Source organism: Homo sapiens, chromosome 2 (genome assembly GCF_000001405.40).
Source record: "Homo sapiens chromosome 2, GRCh38.p14 Primary Assembly".
Lineage (NCBI taxonomy): Eukaryota > Metazoa > Chordata > Mammalia > Primates > Hominidae > Homo > Homo sapiens.
Window position 1 is genome coordinate 96,958,417 of NC_000002.12, and position 18,469 is coordinate 96,976,885.

The 18,469-nt window shown below is 50.3% G+C and overlaps 1 protein-coding gene across 1 annotated transcript in view, besides 1 other annotated feature; it reads right to left on the bottom strand.

The window, feature by feature from the left end:
* The window catches only part of FAM178B (family with sequence similarity 178 member B), a 110,696-nt gene that overhangs the window by 82,532 nt on the left and 9,695 nt on the right, over positions 1–18,469 (bottom strand). The window contains exons 2-6 of the mRNA NM_001122646.3: positions 14,122–14,190; positions 13,485–13,906; positions 12,300–12,361; positions 9,104–9,211; positions 1,872–2,024 (exon numbers count right to left, since the gene is read on the bottom strand). Coding sequence (NP_001116118.2) covers positions 1,872–2,024; positions 9,104–9,211; positions 12,300–12,361; positions 13,485–13,906; positions 14,122–14,190 — 814 coding nt within the window. The remainder of the gene's footprint in view (positions 1–1,871; positions 2,025–9,103; positions 9,212–12,299; positions 12,362–13,484; positions 13,907–14,121; positions 14,191–18,469) is intronic.
* Positions 1,996–2,290: a silencer, noted in NCBI's record as "tiled region #7419; HepG2 Repressive DNase unmatched - State 12:CtcfO". NCBI's record gives its function as "represses a minimal TATA promoter and a strong SV40 promoter by Sharpr-MPRA in HepG2 cells {active_cell/tissue: HepG2}" and the evidence as "EXISTENCE:reporter gene assay evidence [ECO:0000049][PMID:27701403]".

Below are 18,469 nucleotides of genomic sequence, written 5' to 3' on the forward strand. Positions count from 1 at the left end.
GTGGCTCACATCTGTAATCCCAGCACTTTGGGAGGCTGAGGCAGGAGAATCACTTGAGCCCTGGAGTTCAAGACCAACCTGGGCAACATGGCGAGACCCCCATCTCTACAAAAAAATACAAAAATTAACCTAGAGCGGTGGCACACACCTGTAAACCCAGCCACTCAGCAGGCTGAGGTGGGAGAATTGCTTCAGTCAGAGGGGCGGAGGTTGCAGTGAGCCGAGATGGCGCCACTGCACTCCAGCCTGGGCGACAGAGTGAGACTCCATCTCAAAATACTAAAAAAAAAAAAAAAAAAAAAAAAAAAAAAAAAAAAAAAAAAATTGAAATCTGAGCATTAACTGATATTAGCACTATTAAGAAATTACTATTTCTTCAGGTATGATAGTAATATCGAAGTTATGTCTAAAAATAGAGTCTTATGTTTTAGAGACACAAACTGAAGTATTTGTAGATTAAATTTTCTGTGTCTGAGGATTTGCTTAAAAGTATTCCTGAGGTGGCTGGACACGGTGGCTCATGCCTGTAATCCCAGCACTTTGGGAGGCCGAGGTGGGCAGATCACAAGGTCAGGAATTCGAGACCAGCCTGACCAACATGGTGAAACCCCGTCTCTACTAAAAATACAAAAATTAGCCAGGCATGGTGGCAGGTGCCTGTAGTCCCAGCTACTCAGGAGGCTGAGGCATGAGAATCGCTTGAACCCAGGAGGCGGAGGTTGCAGTGAGCCGAGATCACGCCACTGCACTCCAGCCTGGGTGACAGAGCGAGACTCAGTTTTGAAAAAAAAAAAAAAAAAAAAAAAAAAAGTAATCCTGCAATAATGGTGTTGGTAGGCAGAGGTTGAGAGGAAACAAGATTGGCTTTGAGTTGATCCTTGCTGAAAGTGAGTGATGGGTGTGTGGAGGGACGTTATATGGTTCTCTATACTTTGATATGTGTTTGTTAACTTTCCACGATAAAAACTTTCAAAGGAAGCATATCAGAATGTTAACAGTAATCTTTGTATCATACAATAAGACGGACTTGGAATTCATGAAATAAACATAAGCCCTGTATAACTGGAAAAGAGAGCAAGACTCTGGCATTCAAGTCCTAAGGTGGCCGAAGAGACCACAGCAGCAGCTCCACCTCTGTGTTCCTCACCAGGTGGGCAAGGACAGCCCCTTCTCCACCGCCCTGGCCTCCAGCCCCACAGGGCACCAGCCTGTGTGAGCACCCAGCAGACGCCGCTGCACTGAACCCTGAGGACTTTCTTTCCTCTTCTTCTTGGATATATTAGCTCATAATTCCAAGTGTTGGATAAGGTTGTGGTAAATCTTTTAAAAATTCTCTCAAAAAGCAATATAGTCAATGGTTACGTGATAATGATCATGCATTTACTCCCAAAAAGAATAAGACAGCTGTTGTATTGTTAGAGCATGTGCCTGCAGCTGGGGACACGCTTTTCAGTGTCTGCATCACACACACACTGAAGTGCCTCCAACAAGTATGTGGAAGGGCCCATCACGTGCCCTCGATGGCCCAGGAAGGGGCCAGTGCTGATGGAGACACAGCCCCAAGGCACTCATGGTGAGTCTGCTGTTCTGTGACACTGGGGTGTAGGGGAGGGAAAAGCAACATGAACCTGTAAATGCACAACTGGCTATCTGCTATAATGTGGGAATTTTTTAATTATGTGCAACAAAATTAGTAAATGAAATACTGTAAGTAGACAATGTCACCTATATCTCTAAAAACTGACACATTCAAATTGGCCTGATCACCTCTTCGAACTTCCCCCTTTGGGGTGGCCCTTATCCCTGGACTCCAGGAGGGAGGGGTCCTGGACAGGCTGCGCCACCCCCTCACCCCTCCTCCCCACACTTACCTGAGGAACAGCCCTTCCAGGTGGCTGCGTGGCTTCAGGAGTGAGGAGTCCAGGATGCATGGCAGGGGGTGACACCTGGGCAGAAACACAGTCTCACCTGGATGGACCGGCGGGATGGTCTGCAGGGACACTGAGTACTTTTCCACCAGCATCCTGGCAAGGCAAGGGGCAGGAGGGCCGGGCATCAGCAGATGCACCTCGGCCTGAGGCATGGCCATTAGCCCAGGGAAGGATAGAGGGGGGCCACGGGCTCCCTGCCTTGCAGTCCTTGCGGCAAACCAAGGGGACAGCGCCACCTGCTGATGGAGGAAGAGCCCACCTAGGCACGCAGGAGCCCTTCAGTCTCCCATCAATAAGGCCTATCCCTTGCTCAGGGCACCAGTCCAGCAGCCAGAAGACCCAACCCCACCCACTGGATCTGTCAGGTCAGACTTCCACTGCACACCTACAATGCCAGGTACGGAGGGTGAGTCAGGAATGGACCACCCAGGAAGGGCATAAACAAATCACGGCAATCCCCTCTGGCGAGTGGACAGAGAGGCCTACAGGGCGGCTCCATAAGGGCCCAGGAGAGGAGCGCTGGGTGCGGCCAGTGTCGGGGACGGCATCCTGGGAGGGGCAGGAAGGCTGGCAAGCAGGTGGCATGGGCGTGGGCGGAAGCAGGAGGGTCTTGAGCCCATATGAAGGAGCCTGATTCTCTCTCAGGGCCAGCAGTCCTCAAGCTCCAGGGCTCTGAGGACCACCCAGACAGCTGCTGCAATGCAGATCCTGGGCCCGGTCCGGCCCAGAGAGTCTGATTTAGTGGATGGGAGCTGGCCCCATGGACAAAGAAGGGACGAGGAGAAGGGATACATTTCAACAGTATCGGAGAGAGGTGAAAACTGTCAGGACTTAATGACCCATTGAAATGAGGATGGGGAAAAGGGAGGCAGCGAAGATGTTTCCCAAGAATGAGCTAAATCTACATAAAGAAGGACTGGCAACGTGGCTGAGCCCAAGTTCTTGGGTGAAAACAGCAGCAGAGGGTGTGTGTGTGTGTGTGTGTGTGTGTGTACACACACACAAGCCTACACACATATGCACGGACACAGACATGCTCAGACACGTGCAACGCCCACCCCCAGCATATGACATATCCCACTACAACTGAGGGTCATCCCAGGGAGCAGAATCAGAGGGAGGGGAGAGGAAAAGAGGGCAACTTCCTCTTTACTTCATATAACTATGTTCTGCTTCATTTTATAGCAATATAACACAAATTTAACAACAGGAACAATAAAATAAAACAAGCTCTGGACACTGCCTCTCTTCCTCTAATCAGGAGACGGCCCATTCCCTGGTTTCCGGCTAGGCCCACTGTTTGGGACAGCAAACCCAGGGGCAGAACAGCCCAGGGGCCCCCTTAGGATCTGGACATGAGCAACTGGCACTGGGTGTGGTGTGGCGTCGCCTGCAGCCCACCAACCTAGCACATGGAACCTGTCTCACTTTCTGGCCAAGTGACCCAAGGTACGGCCCTGACCCACATCACAGGGTGGTCCTGAGAATGAAATGGCACAACAAATGGGAACGATGCTGCAGACCCGGGAGGACTCTGACCCTGCGGGCTTCAGGAAGCATCTCACCAAACCACCACACAAACGGTAAAACAATTTCCTGTTTGGTTCATGTCTTTGCCATTAGTTTTGTATCTATTGCTTAAATTGTTTTTTAGTTTGAAAAAATGAACAAATTATTAAAAGCCTAGGCCAGGTGCGGTGGCTCAGCACTATGGGAGGCTGAGGTGGGCGGATCACCTGAGGTCGGGAGTTCAAGACCAGCCTGGCCAACATGGTGAAACCCCGTCTCTACTAAAAATACAAAAATTAGCTGGGCGTGGTAGCCGGCACCTGTAATCCCAGCTACTTGGGAGGCTGAGGCAGGTGAATTGCTTGAATCTGGGAGGTGGATGTTGCGGTAAGCCGAGATTGCACCGCTGCACTCCTGCCTGGGTGACAGAGCAAGACTCCATCTCAAAGGGAAGAAAATACAAAAGGGAGGCTGAGGCAGGAGAATTGCTTGAACCTGGGAGGTAGAGGTTGCAGTGAACCAAGACTGTGCCATTGCACTCCAGCCCTGGCAACAGTGCAAGACTTCGTCTCAAGAAAAAAAAAAAAAGAAAGAAAGAAAGAAAGAAAAAAAAGCCTATAAGAACTAGGCTAATCTACAAAGGGGTCCTGTCCCTGTCCCTAAAACCATCTTTTAAAGGGACTTCTGTGATGCTGGCTGTAATGTATGTGCATTATTAAGAGTCCTGAGGCGACTCTTATACATCTAATTGGGGATTTCCTGTGCAGCCTAGAGCTGAGAATAAAGGATGATGTTGTGGTTTAAATATCTGCCTCTGCCCCAGGCTCAGCACACACGCAAGGTCTTTTAACTTTAAGAAATGGAGAATTGAGGATGTCACCCATTCAAGATGCAAGCCGATTGTTAGAGCATGCACAGATGCTTGCTCGGGACTGTCAGGGGTCCTTTCTGTGACGGGCAGTTGTGGCAATTAGATGACGCCTTGTCTGGCAGGCAGTGGTCAGCCCCCACCCTAAGCATCCCTTCCTGACCTGCACCCCCTTCCCTGGCCCTATTCAGGGATGAAGAGGCTGCTGGCTTTGTACACTGGTGAATGACTTTTGTAAAGCAGAAAGCTGAACAGTCCCATCCAGATGATCCCACATCAAAACCACCACCTCAAAGTGGCTGCTGTCAAAGAGGCTTTCTCAAAGCACCACTAGAAAACGTCATGCGCCCAGCAAATTACCAGTGTTTTCAAAGCCAGGACTACCTTCTGCGTTAAGCTGGTTGCACAGATAACTTCCTTTCTGTGAGGAGTTTCAAAACATCCAAGCCATGACTTCCGGAATGCTGGAGGTACTCAGTAGAAAGATACAGAGCTGGAAGAATTACTCTTGCTGCAGAGATTTTTAAAAAGGTTTTAAAAGGTTTGATTCCATGGCTATGTAGCTAGTGAGTGGAGAACCTGGAAACCAAATCCATGCACCTCAGCTCAGAGAGAAAGTTGCTTTCATCAAATATAATGCTGCCAAAGTGCTCTTGCCGAGGAAGGCCTTTGGCCCTAAACACGCTAATTAAATTCAGTCTACATGCCCCACCATGCCCATCCACATGCTTCCTGCAACATCAGACAGGAAGCAGCACCTGCCTCGTGGGAGTCCATGTGGGACGTCATGGCCGGCTGCCTTTCCCTGGAACTCTGGGCAGTGTGTGAGGAGCTCTCTTTGTCCACCTGGGACGGCTGCTCAAATCCCAACACATTCCTAAACTTTCACCATAAAAACTGGCACCAGTCAGGAGGCAGGGGTCCTTCTAATTTGGGCCAGGCAAAGTACAGCCTGCAGGCCGAGTCCTGTGTGGGGCCTGTTTCTGCAACAAGGGCTCACTGCAGCACAGCCATGCGCCTTCATTCACCCAGCATCTGCAGGAGCCTCCTGCTGCAGCAGCAGAGTTGACAGAGACCACCTGGTCCTCAAGGCCTAAAATATTTGCTATTTACAAACTTTTCACAAAGTTTGCTGATCCTTGATTTAGTCAAGAGATGATTATCAGGCTGGGCACGGTGGCTCACGCCTGTAATCCCAGCACTTGGGGAGGCCGAGGCAGGCAGATTGCTTGAGCCCTGGTGGCCAGGTGTTCAAGACCAGCCTGGCCAATGTGGCAAAATCTTGTCTCTACTAAAAATATAAAAATTAGCCAGGTGTGGTGGCCCACACCTGTAGTCCCAGCTTCTCGGGAGGCTGAAGCATGAGAATCGTTTGAACCTGGGAGGCGGAGGTTGCAGTGAGCCAAGATAACTCCAGCCTGGGCGACAGAGTGAGACTCCATCTTGGGGGAAAAATAAAATAAAAGAGAGAGATGATTATCAGAAAAACTTCAAAAAAAAAAAAGGTAAATGGCCAGCCCAGGTGTGACTCATAACTATCTCTGGGCACCCATGTAATGTGGGGATCCTAAAAGCAGGCCACATCCCTCCACCAGGAACTCTGTGTGTTATCACTCAACAGGCCTTTAAAGAGTGAATGCAGAATGCTAACCTAGGGCGTGCAACTGAACTTCGCCCATGTGGTGCTTAGACCAGCACTAAATAATACCTCGGCCAGGCTCACAGAAGCAGCAAGGCCCAGGTGGCAGAGGAGACGGGGTGTATTGCCTGACCCACCCTGGCCACACAGCTGGGGCCACCTCCTCCCCTGCAGCCCAATGCACATGTTCTTCAAGTTTCCCCTCCAGCCTCCCTAGCATCGATTCCCCGCTCCCTTGGTCACTACCATTGGCCTACAGACGTGCTGTTACTCTATCAAAGAAAGAGAAACAGAAAAGCCAGAAAGAAACCACCCCACTGATCTGACCCCACTTCCCTTTTCAGCTACTGCCCATTCTTCTCCTTCGTCCCTTCTTGTTCTTCCAGGAGCCCACTCCAGTCAGGTTAGCCTCCAGCAGAGCTGCTCCTGTGCAGGGCACTGTGACCTCTAAATCATACGTCAATCATTCCCACTCTGGGCCAGCAGCCTGGCACCCAGGCATCTGGCTTCCCTGCAACCTGCTCCATCTCCTTTGCCATCTCCTCCTTGTGGCTGCCAAATGCTGTGGGCTCCATACCCTTGGGCCCCTGCTGTTCTCTCTCCCCAGGTGATCATCCGGTTTGGTGGCTTTATTTATTATTTACTTTTATTTTTGAGACGGAGTCTCGCTCTGTCGCCCAGGCTGGAGTGAGGTGGTACGATCTCAGCTCACTGCAACCTCCACCTCCCGGGTTCAAGTGATTCTCCTGCTTCAGCCTCCTGAGTAGCTGGGATTACAGGTACGCGTCACCACGCCCAGCTAATTTTTGTATTTTTAGTAGAGACAGGGTTCAGGGTTTCACCATGTTGGCCAGGCTGGTCTCAAAACTCCTTGGCTCAAGTGATTCACCTGCTTCAGCCTCCCAAAGCGCTGGGATTACAAGATGAGAGCCACCATGCTCTGCCCTGGTTTTGTGGCTTTAAATGTCATACGTACACAGTGACTCCCAAGCTTGCCTCTCCAAGTAGCCTCCCTGATCTTGCCCCAGGATGCCCCAAATGAACCCTTGATTCCAAGCCCACCCTACCCGCAGCATGTAGCGCAGTCAATCAGTCTCCCCCCATTTTTTTTTTTTAAGAGATAAGGTCTTGCTGTGTCACCCAGGCTGTGGTGCAGTGGTGTGATCACAGCTCACTGCAGCCTCAACCTCCCCGGCTCAAGTGATCCTCCTATCTCAGCCTCCCAAGTAGCTGGAACTACGGGCATGTGCCAACACATCTGTGTACTTTTTAAAAATGTTTTAGGACAGACAAGCTCTCCCTGTGTTGCCGGGGCTGGTCTTAAAACTCCTGGGCCCAAGCAATCCTCCTGCCTTGGCCTCCCAAAGTGTTGCAATTACAGGCATGAGCCACCGTGCCCAGCCTCCCCCAATTTATTTAAAGATAACTCCAACCTTCCAGTTGCTCAGACCTAAGCTCCGGGGGTCCCTTTTGAGTCCTCTCTTACTCCTAGACCTTCCATCCATTTGTCAGCAAATCCTGTCACTTCTACCCTGAAAATACACCCAGAATTTGCCCACTCCTCAGTGTCCACCCCATCCTCAAGCACCGTCATTACTTTTGGATTCCTGCCAAGGCCTCCTCTGCTCCTGGTCCCCTCCCTCCTGCCCTGGCCTCCACACCTAACTGGTCTATCCTCAACACAGCGGCCAGAGGGTCCTATGCAGACATGTGTCCAATTAACTCAGAGGAAAGCCTCCAAGAGCCAGTGCCTGCCCCTGGCCTCCCTCACCTCCTATCCCCCACCAGCCCCCTCCTCCAGGCTCCCACACGCCAGGTGCACTCCCACAGCAGGGTCCCTGGAACTGGCTCTCACCTCCTCGAGGTGCTGCTTAGAAGACCTGCTCACAAGGCCTTCCCTGAGCCCTCATCACAGCCCACACCCTTCCCAGAGCCCACATCCCTTCATCATCAGAGCCCACACCCTTCATCATCAGAGCCTTCATCATCAAAGCCCACATGATTAGAGCCCACATCATCAGAGCCCACACCTTTCCCAGCACTCCTTATGCCCCCAGCGTTAGCCTTTCTCAGGAGCCCTTGCAGCACAACTTCACTGATCTTATTTACTGCTTGTCTCCGGAAGGAAAGCTGAAGCAGTGGGAAGGCAGAGATTGTCTGGTTTTGTTCCTGCCACATCCCGAAGCTACAGCAGAGCCTCGCACATAGTTGGCACTCGATAAATGTCTGCTGGGTGAGTGGATGGATGGACACATGGACAAATGGGTGAATGGATGGTGTTACAGGCTTATGTTTGTGTCCCCCCAAAATATATGTGTTGAATCCTCACCCCCAGGGTGAAGGTATTAGGAAGTGGGGCCTTTGGGAGGTGATGAGGCATGAGGGTGGAGCCTTCATGAATAGGATTGGTACCCTTATGAAAGGGCCCCAGAGAGCTCTCTTGCCTCTTTCTGTCACGTGAGGACACAGAGACTTAGGCAGTCTGCAACCTGGAAGAGCGCTCTCACCAGGACCGACCCTGCTGGCTCCCGGGTCTCAGACCTCCAGCCTCCATAACTGTGGGAAACAGACTTCAGCTGCTTAGAAGCCACCAGTCTATGGCCCTTTGTTCTAGCAGCCCCAACAGACCAAGACGGATGGAAAACAGTGTGCCCTGAAGATGGATTCGGTTGTGGCCCTGGGCATCTCTGATGCTCCGAAGTAGAGATGAAGCCAGCCCTCCCTCCAGCCAATGGCCCAATTAAATCAGGGCCCCCACTCAGAGCTACTTTCTCTTCTCCAGTTAGGGGAAGATGAAAAATCTCACATGGTCGTAACCTCCCCTTGAAAGCAGATTTCATTTAGATTGTGGTTTTGTGTAGTTATTTTCCCGAGATCTGTTTCTAAGAATTTGGGCAGATAATTGGGGCAGAACAAGCTGTGTTTTATGATCCCTGTGTGGCAAAGGCTCAAATGAGACCCTGATGCACAGTAGGTGATCAGATCTTTCTTGAATCAATGAGTGAATGTGGCTTTAAGAGAAAGAGGTAGCTTTAGAATTCACAAATAGTACACAAATCACTGTACCATGTTGGTCAAAACTCTGTCCAAAACCAGAGGGGGTTGGCACCTCAGTCTTTCCCCTTCGGAGGCTGGTGCCAGGCCCCTGCCCCTCACCTGTGCTCGGGTGTGAGTGGCACTTCCTCTTCATCAAGATCCAAGGAGTTGAGATTGAGACACTCCTGCAGAAGCAGCCTCTCTCGCTCCTGCTCCAGGGCCTGTTCCCTATAGGAAGTCGAGGGCCAGAGCCGGGGGTCAGTGTTGTTCCCCATCGTGCAACCCTGTCACTGGGCTGCAGGTGTTGCCACCAACACAGCAAGACCAGAGGGCTGCGCCGTCCTGGCTGGTCTCCTTGTGAAGCCGCTCACACAGATTTTTAAGGCAATGGGGACGGGTTGCATTACATAGACTGTGCTTTCCCCAAATGAGCAGAGAGGAGCAAGCAGGCCAGAAGATGGTTCTCACCACACAACTTCCAATGCATCTTTACTTGTGTACCCTGTTTGGTCTTTTTTTTTTTTTTTTTTTTTTTTTTTGATACCAGACATCACTGTGTTGCCTAGGCCAGAGTGCAGTGGCTTTTTACAGATGCAACCAAAGTGTATCGCAGCCTCAAATGCCTGGGCTCAAGCAATTTCCCACCTCAGCCTCTCAAGGGACAACAGGCAAGCACTCGGATTCGTTCTTTTTTTTTAAACACACCAAGGCCTAGGGCTAGCCCTTCTGCTCCTCAGCCACGTGACCAGGAAAGATCTCGTGCCCTGGCTCCTCGGCATCCCTGACACGTGCATGGCCTGACTCTGCAGCCACTTAGGGCAGCCCCTCTGCTCCTGCTCATTCCCTTTCTCTCTTTAGCCTTCCGGCCTCACTCCTGGGGCTCTGTTTTCCGCCACCAGCCCCTGCGCGCCTCACTTCAACTGGCCCCCACAATAGGCCCCACACACCTGTTACCTTGCCAGAGCCCCAACCCCTACCCTCCTCCCGCCCTGCAAACCAACACAGCCTTCCTTGTCCTTGCGCCCAGGCTGTGGAGAGAGCCCTGGGAGCCTCCCCAGCCCCTGTCTGGTCCCTCCAGGTGCCCACCCTGGTTGGGCCCATGGGTCCTCAGTTCTCTAACATTTTCTCTCCACCCCAGGCCTGTCGTGAGCTCAGATCCTGCTAGCCAGCCACTCACTGAGTGATTTCTAGCTGAATGTGACTGGGCCCCTCCAATGACCCATGTCTACCAGCCAGGCCACCAGACCCACCAGAAGCCCCATCACCCTCCTCCCAGGGGCCTCCTGGCTGTGAGCCCGTCCCAGGCCCCCTCAGCCCCTCATCACTGTCCTGCTCTTGCCCTTCCCATCCCTTCTCCAAATGCAGCCTGCAGTTTCTTAAACAAGAGAAAACATATCTCTGCCTGCTTCAGTTTCTCCCATGACTCAGCCTTGTGTCCAACAAGGCCCCTCAGGCTCCAGCCCCATGCACATCTCATCTTGGCTGCATCTTCTGCCTCGCCCCTCCAACCCCTCTGCACTGAGAATTTGGGTCCTAACCGGCACAGTCTGTCTTATCCACCTTTACATGTGCAGTCATCCCCCTCCCACCAAACAAAACTTCCTTTCTTGCAAGGTTCAGTGACAAGGATACATCTGGGAGCCTTTTCCGACTCCGGGTTAAGTTAGGTGTCACTCTTCTGGGCTCCTCCACGGCAACATGACAGTGTGGGTAGTATGAGATCATTATGCTAAATTGCCAGGGAAGCAGGGGCTGCACCATCAGCTCCACTATCCAGAGCCTGGCATGGTGCAGCACACAGCGTCCTATGGACTAAATGTCTGTGTCTTCCCAGAATTCCTATGTTGAAGCCCTAACCCCAGTATAGCTATATTTGGAGTAAGAAAGTAATTAAGGTAAAATGAGGTCATAGGACAGGCCCTGATCCCACAGGATTAGTGTCCTTAAAAGAAGAGACACCAGAGAGCTTGTGCTCTCTCTGCCACGTGAGGACACAGCAAGAAGCAAGAAAGAGTGCCCTCACCAGGAACCGACTGACCAGAACCTCAATCCTGGGCTGCTGGCCACCAGAACTGGGAGAAATAACTGTATTGTTTAAGCCCCCAGTGTGTGCCATCCTGTTACAGCAGCCCGAGCTGACTAGCACAGAGCAGGACCCTCCCAATGCCAGGCACACCGACAAGCAGTCACGAGGAGGCCCCAGCTGCTCATTTTCCTGCCAATATTTTCAAGCGTCTACTAAATGTACATCACCATGCTGGGCACCGTGGAAATATATAGGCATGGTCCCTTCCCTAACGTACAATCTAATGGGAGAAAATCACTCAGGTGAAGGAGCTGAACAACACAAGTTCCCGGGTCGGAGGAGCCCAGAGGGGCTGCACAGCAGAGGCAGATGAGATGACTCCAGGGCGGGCCAGAGGGCCAAGAATGGACCAAAGAATAATTCATCCCAGTGCATGAGGAGCTCTCTGCCAACAGGGCTGGGAACTTTGAGGAGGGTGGAAAGAGTGGGTATCAGTCCTCCCACCAGGAGAGCTGGGTGTTCCAGGGTGGCATCGCCCCCGCCCACACTTAACTTCTGCAAACACAATGGACATGCACTGAACAAAAACAACACAACACAACAACGGGAGAGGACAAAGACTCAGGAAGTGTGAACAACCTGCTCACATGCCACCAAAGAGCATGCCCCCATGAAGACGACCCCTGTCTGTCCCCAGCCACCTGCACCTCCCTAGGGATTTCCAATCTCATCAGACGTGACTGTTGCCTTCAGCGGTCCGTGGAAACTACTTATGGCAGACAGGGAGAGAGCTAGTTAGAAGCTAATATGCTGGGAGAAGGCAGGTGTGAAACTCAGAGAGGATGGGAAAATGGGCAACGCGTGCCTGCACACTGGGGTAGAAAGCAGCGGCAGAAATGTTAGGAAGTCCCGTCTGCCCAGCATGACCCTCCAGCCACAGCCAGGCTGTAACCCTCAGCCACAAAACAGTCTGCTTTTCCACTTCCCTCTCACATAACCCTTGAGTGGGAGGAGACACCCTCAAACTGGCAGGAGTTGGGCAGAATGGAGCCAAGGTGGAGAGGGGACCCAGAAGGAGGGCTCTGTTCGTGGTGGGAGTCTGGGGGCTCTCTGCCTTGGTGATGCCACCCCCTGCCCTGGCGACCTGCCTGTTACTGATCAGAGCACACAGGGCAGGCTGAGTCTGGGTGGGAGGCCGCTGTACTCCGACCAGACTCTGCAGTGAGTCCCGGGACTGCTGCCAACCCTGCAGAAATAAGCACCCCATGACAGGCCACGCCCTGTGCTCACCTCTTCTCCTGCAGTAAGTAGTCCAGGTTGTTGAAGTAGCTTCCTGAGCCCCCCCAGGAAAACTGGAGAAACAGGACATGGGAATGAGGACGACAGAGAAGTACAAAGATAGAGGAGAAAAAAGAAAAAAAACTAAATTAAGCCCTTTATTTATTTTGTTTGCTTTTCTGAAAAGATACTATGTTTACAGGATTAAAAAATCAAAAAGTATAAAGGCGCAGGGTAAAATGTCTCCCTGCCCCCATCCCCACCCCCAGCCACCTGTTCCCTCCCCACAGGTGCCCATGGGATAGGCATTCCTCATGTGCTTTCAGAGACACTTCACACAGAGACAGCAAACAACACCACATCACAGGCGCCAGCACACCACACCACACAGCTTATCCTGCACCAGGCTCTATCCTGCACCACACACTTTTCAATCTCAATGATCTGACATCATTCCCTATCAAAGCCAAAGAGCTTCTCTCCCCCTCCCTATCTGCTCCCTTTCCCACTGTGCCCCTCCCCATTGCCCTCTCCTCCTCTCCTCTCCCTCCCTCCCTCTCTCTCCTTCTCCCCCTCCTTCCCTCTCTCCCACCTCCCTCTCTCTCTCCTTCCCTCTGTCCCCCTCTCCCTTGTGTCTCTGTCTGTCTGTCTGTCTGTCTCTCTCTCGCAGGCTGTTACAAACAGCTGAAACCCATTCTTAGAATAACTGTTCTCGATCCACAGCCTGTAAATGTCCCACAGTCTACCTAGCAGCAGGAGCTTACTCCCAATTTGAAGTTCATCATTGAAGTTCCATTTAGGACTCCCGATCCACTGGACCAGAGTCAGCTTGAGTCTCTACAGACAACCAAGCCCAGACCTCAGCTCTGAGATCCCTCCTTGCTCCGGGGCCATAACCCTAACCTCAGCCATGAAAGCCTCAAGGGGCCCCATGAAGTGGCATCGAATTTGTTGCCACCCAAAGCCATTTGTCAGCAGGAGTTACTGGTGGAGACACAGGGCGAGGTGCATCCTGGCCTTGGGGGCCTGCGCTTCCAGCCATGAGGGCCCAAGGGCTGAGCAGGGATGGTCAAGGTGAAGTGTCCGAGGAAGAGCAGCTGGGGCGTGGCTCAGGAGAGGGTGGCCTGGGGTGACTGTAAAAGGGTGGCTAAAGATGGGTAGCCAAGGAGAAGAGGCCAAGGGTGGACACAGGCTCACCTCTGGGGCCGCAGCCTGCTGGCTCAGGCCTGACGTGTTCCAGAACAGCTTCTCTGGCAAGGCCAGGCCCCTCTTCGGGTCCAAGTCCAGGTGTTCCTGCTCCAACTCCTCGGGCAGCTCACCAGCCAGTCTCCTCAGGCCCTGGGGGCCCACCACACCCACCCACCTCTGGGCCGGGGCCTCCCGACTGGCCTGCAGCACCCTCGGGTTGAGGAATTCCACGGGCGGGGGGCTCCAGTCAGTGGGAAACGTTTCCCCAGGTGCCTGTATCTTGGGCTTCTTTGGCGATGTGGGAGCTGGAGCCGAGGCAGGGCTGCAGGGCCGCCGGGCAGGGCAGCGGGGCCCCTGGTCCAGGGGATGGTCTGACAAGCCATCCTCCAGGTTGTACAGGAGGATGGGCACGGTGGCGGCAGCCTGCACCCCTGCAGACAGGACAGAATACTGTGGTCCCTCTGCCCACCTGCCACTGTCCCAGACGTCAAGCCACACTGGGTAAGGAGAGCAGCAAATGGGTGAGAGAACAACTTGGGGTTGCTGTGGGAAGGATGCAAGGGAAATCCTTCAGCCATGGGCTCTCCACTTCCTCTCGCCCCCAAACCTCAGTGGGGATTTACCTGTGCAGGTGAGAGACGCCTACCTTCTCTCAGAGGAAGGGCTAGCACCGTCTCCTGGGGCCCAGCCATCTGCAAGCCGTGGGACATCTGTCCTGGAAGGAAGCGCCTGTGAGGGCAGGTGAACCTCCAGAAGAAAGCTAAAGGTTCTAAACCCCGTGATTCCCACAGAGGAGGGCCTGGGCCCACTGTGCCCAAGAGGGTCCGCCCTGAGGACTGGCCTTCTGATCCCACCAAGGTCAAGTTGCTGAGATGGAGAGAACAATCTGACTTCTCATTTCAAGGACATGATGGGCAAATGTGAGGATATCAATTTTCTTTTTTTAGACGGAGTCTCACTCTCTCGCCCAGGCTGGAGTGCAGCGGCGTGATCTTGGCTCACTGCAACCTCTGCCTCCTGGGTTCAAGCGATTCTCCTGCCTCAGCCTCCCAAGTAGCTGGGATTACAGACATGCGCCAAGGTGGACGGATCACCTGAGGTCAGGAGGTCAAGCCCAGCCTGGGCAACATGGTGAAACCCGTCTCTAGTAAAATAAAAATAAAAAAAATTAGCCGGGCGTGGCGGCGTGTGCCTTAGTCTCAGCTACTCGGGAGGCTGAGGCAGGAGAATTGCTTGAACCTGGGAGGTAGAGGTTGCAGTGACCCAAGATGGTGCCACTGCATGCCAGCCTGGCAACAGAGTGAGACTCCATTTCAAAAAAAAAAAAAACCAAAACCAAAACAAAACCAGCACAGCTCAGCAGAAAAGCTATGTTCTGAGATGACGCCCCACCCATCTTACTTACTTGGTGCCACCCTGTAAGTCTGTTTGTTCACAAGGTATGGAACAGGGATGTCTGGTTCCTGCCATTTCCCAAGCACCAGCACAGACCTGGCCCACAGTAGGTATTTGTGCATTTTCGCTGAATGAATGAGTGATTTAAGAGGCCCTGGGGCTGGCCCAACAAGCGTCCTCCAGTAGGAGGAACTGCCTGTCTCCAGTCAAGATGGACCATGGCACACACACAGACATCTCCCATTGGATCGGACCCAGGCTCAAACTGCAACACAGATGAAAGGCTAATAAAGAGTCTAATGATCAAAGGAAATCGCAGTTTACAAAAAACAAACAACAAGATTCAAACTCAATAGTGAAAGAAATTCAAATCAACATGACTATGACACATGGTCAATAAATAATCAAAACATTAAAATTTTATAATAATGAGGCTGGGTGCGGTGGCTCACATCTGTAATCCCAGCACTTTGGGAGGCCGAGGAGGGTGGGTCATCTGAGGTCAGAGTTCGAGACCAGCCTGGCCAACATGACAAAACCCCATCTCTACTAAAAATACAAAAAAAATTAGCCAGGCATGGTGGCACACGCCTGTAATCCCAGCTACTCAGGGGGCTGGGGCAGGAGAATCACTTGAACCCAGGAGACGGCAGTTGCAGTGAGCCAAGATTGCACCACTGCACTCCAACCTGAGCAACAGAGTGAGACTCTGTCTCAAAATACATAAATAAATAATAAATAAATAAATTTAAGATATGAATTATAATCTCCAGGGTAATCACTAAGGAAATAACTTAAAAATATACAGAAAAGGGGCTGGGCGCAGTGGCTCACGCCTGTAATCCCAGCACTTTGGGAGGCTGAGGTGGGCGGATCATGAGGTCAGGAGATCGAGACCATCCTGGCTAACACAGTGAAACCCCATCTCCACTAAAAATACAAAAAATTAGCCAGGTGTGGTGGTGGACGCCTGTAGTCCCAGCTACTCAGGAGGCTGAGGCAGGAGAATGGCATGAACCCAAGAGGCGGAGGTTGCAGTGAGCCAAGATCGTGCCACTGTACTCCAGCCTGGGCAACAGAGCAAGACTCCATCTCAAAAAAAAAAAAAAAAAAAAAAAAGGAAATGAGGAGGCAATTAAAACAATATACTACAAGAAAATAAACACAAAAGGCATTAATGGAAGAAAAAGAAAAATATATAGAAAACAAATAGCAAAATGGCAGAAGTCATTCCTTATCAGTAATTAGTTCAAATATAAACGGATTAAATTCTCCAATCAAAAGACAGAGATTGGCAATATACATTTAAAAAACATGATTCAACTACATTATGATATGTGGAAGACACAAATAGGTTGAAAATGCAAGTATGCAAAAAGATATTCCATGCAAATAGTACTAAAAGAAAGCTCGGGTAGTTACACTAATAACAGACTTAAGTGACTTTAAGTCACACAAATAAACTTTAAGTCAAAAAGTACAAGAGACAAAGATTATATATTGACACAAGAATCAATCATCGGCCAGGAGCAGTGGCTCACACCTGTAATCCCAGCACTTTGGGAGGCCGAGGCGGGCGTTATCACTTGAGGTCAAGAGTTCGAGACCAGCCTGGCCAACATGATGAAACACCGCCTCTACTAAAAATACAAAAATTAGCTGGGCTTGGTGGCATAAGCCTGTAATCCCAGCTACTCGGGAGACTGAGGCAGGAGAATCGTTTGAACCCGGGAGGCGGAGGTTGCAGTAAGCCTAGATCGTGCCACTGCACTCTATCTAACCTGGGTGACAGAGTGAGACTCTGTCTCAAAAAAAAAAAAAAAAAAAAAAAAGAACCAATCATCAAGAAGCTATAACAGAGATGTAGTCAAAGAACAAAAAACTTCTGTCAGATGGGGGAATGAATTCCAGAGTTCTACTGTATAACATGACAGAATAACAATGTACAGTATGTATAGTTATGCACTATGTATAGTTATGTATAGTACACTGTATAGTAACATATAGTATTCTTGAAAATTGTTAAGATAGGAGATTTTAAGTATACTCGCCAGAAAAATATGGTTAGTATGTAAAGTAATACATATGTTAATTAGCTGGATTTACCTATTCCACAGTGTAAGCATACTTCTTTCAAAAATTGTTTTAATTGATGCATAACAGATGTACATATTTTGGGGGTACATTTGATAATTTAACACATGCCTATAATTCGTAAAGATCAAATCAGTGTAACTGGGATATCCATCACCTTAAATGCTTGTCTTTTTGCTCAAAACATTCCAATTATTCTCTTCTAGCTATTTTGAAATATACAATAAATTATTGTAAACTATAGTCACCCTACTAATCTACTCAACACTAAGCCTAATTTCTTCTATCAAGCTGTATATTTGTACCAATTAATAAACCCCTTTATCTTCCATCTACACATTTCAAAACATGTTACACTAAATGTACCATAGAAAAACATGTTACACTAAATGTACCATAGTTCCCCCTTATCGATTTCACTTTCCAGTTTCAGCTAACTGCAGTCAATCACAGTCTAAAAATAACAAGCGCAGAAGGCTTGCCTTGGCCTCCCAAAGTTTGGGAATACAGGCATGAACCACCGCGCCCGATCTAATATACTACTTTCAATAATAAAACAACTACACAGAAGGCCAAAAGAAGGTAGGGGAATTGAACAACACTATAAACCAACAGAACACTTTACCCCACAACAGCAGAATACACATTCTTCCTAAGTACACATGGAATATTCTTCAGGATAGACCATATGGTATATGATAGGCCATAAAACAATTCTTTTTTTTTTTTTTTGAGAGAGAGTGTTACTCTGTTGCCTAGGCTGGAGTGCAGTGGCACAATCTTGGCTCACTGCAACCTCCTCCTCCCAGGTTCAAGCGATTCTCCTGCCTCAGCCTCCGAGTAGCTGGGACTACAGGTGCGTGCCACCATGCCCGGCTAATTTTTTGTATTTTTAGTAGAGATGGGGTTTCACCGTGTTAGCCAGGATGGTCTCAACCTCCTGACCTCATGATCCACCTGCCTTGGCCTCCCAAAGTGCTGGGATTACAGGCGTGAGCCACCATGCCTGGCCAAAACAATTCTTAATAAACTTAAACATTGAAATCATATAAAGTATCTTCTGACCACAATAAAAACTCCTAGGTATAATATCCAAAAGAACTGAAAACAAATATCCATACAAAATCTTGCACACAAATATCCACAGCAGCATTATTCATAATAGTCAAAAAGTGAAAACAGGGCTAGGCATGGTGGCTCACGCCTGTAATCTCAGTACTTTGGGAGGCCAAGGCGGGCAAATCACTTGAGGTCAGGAGTTCAAGACCAGCCTGGCCAACATGGCGAAACCCCATCTTTACTAAAAATACAAAAAAAATTAGCCAGGTATGGTGGTGGGTGCCTGTAGTCCCAGCTACTCAGGAGGCTGAGGCAGGAGAATTGCTTGAACCTGGGAGGCGGAGGTTGTAGTGAGCTAAGATCATGCCACTGCACTCTGGCCTGGACAACAAAGGGAGACTCATTTTCAAAAAATAAATAAAATAAAATAAAATAAATAAACACAT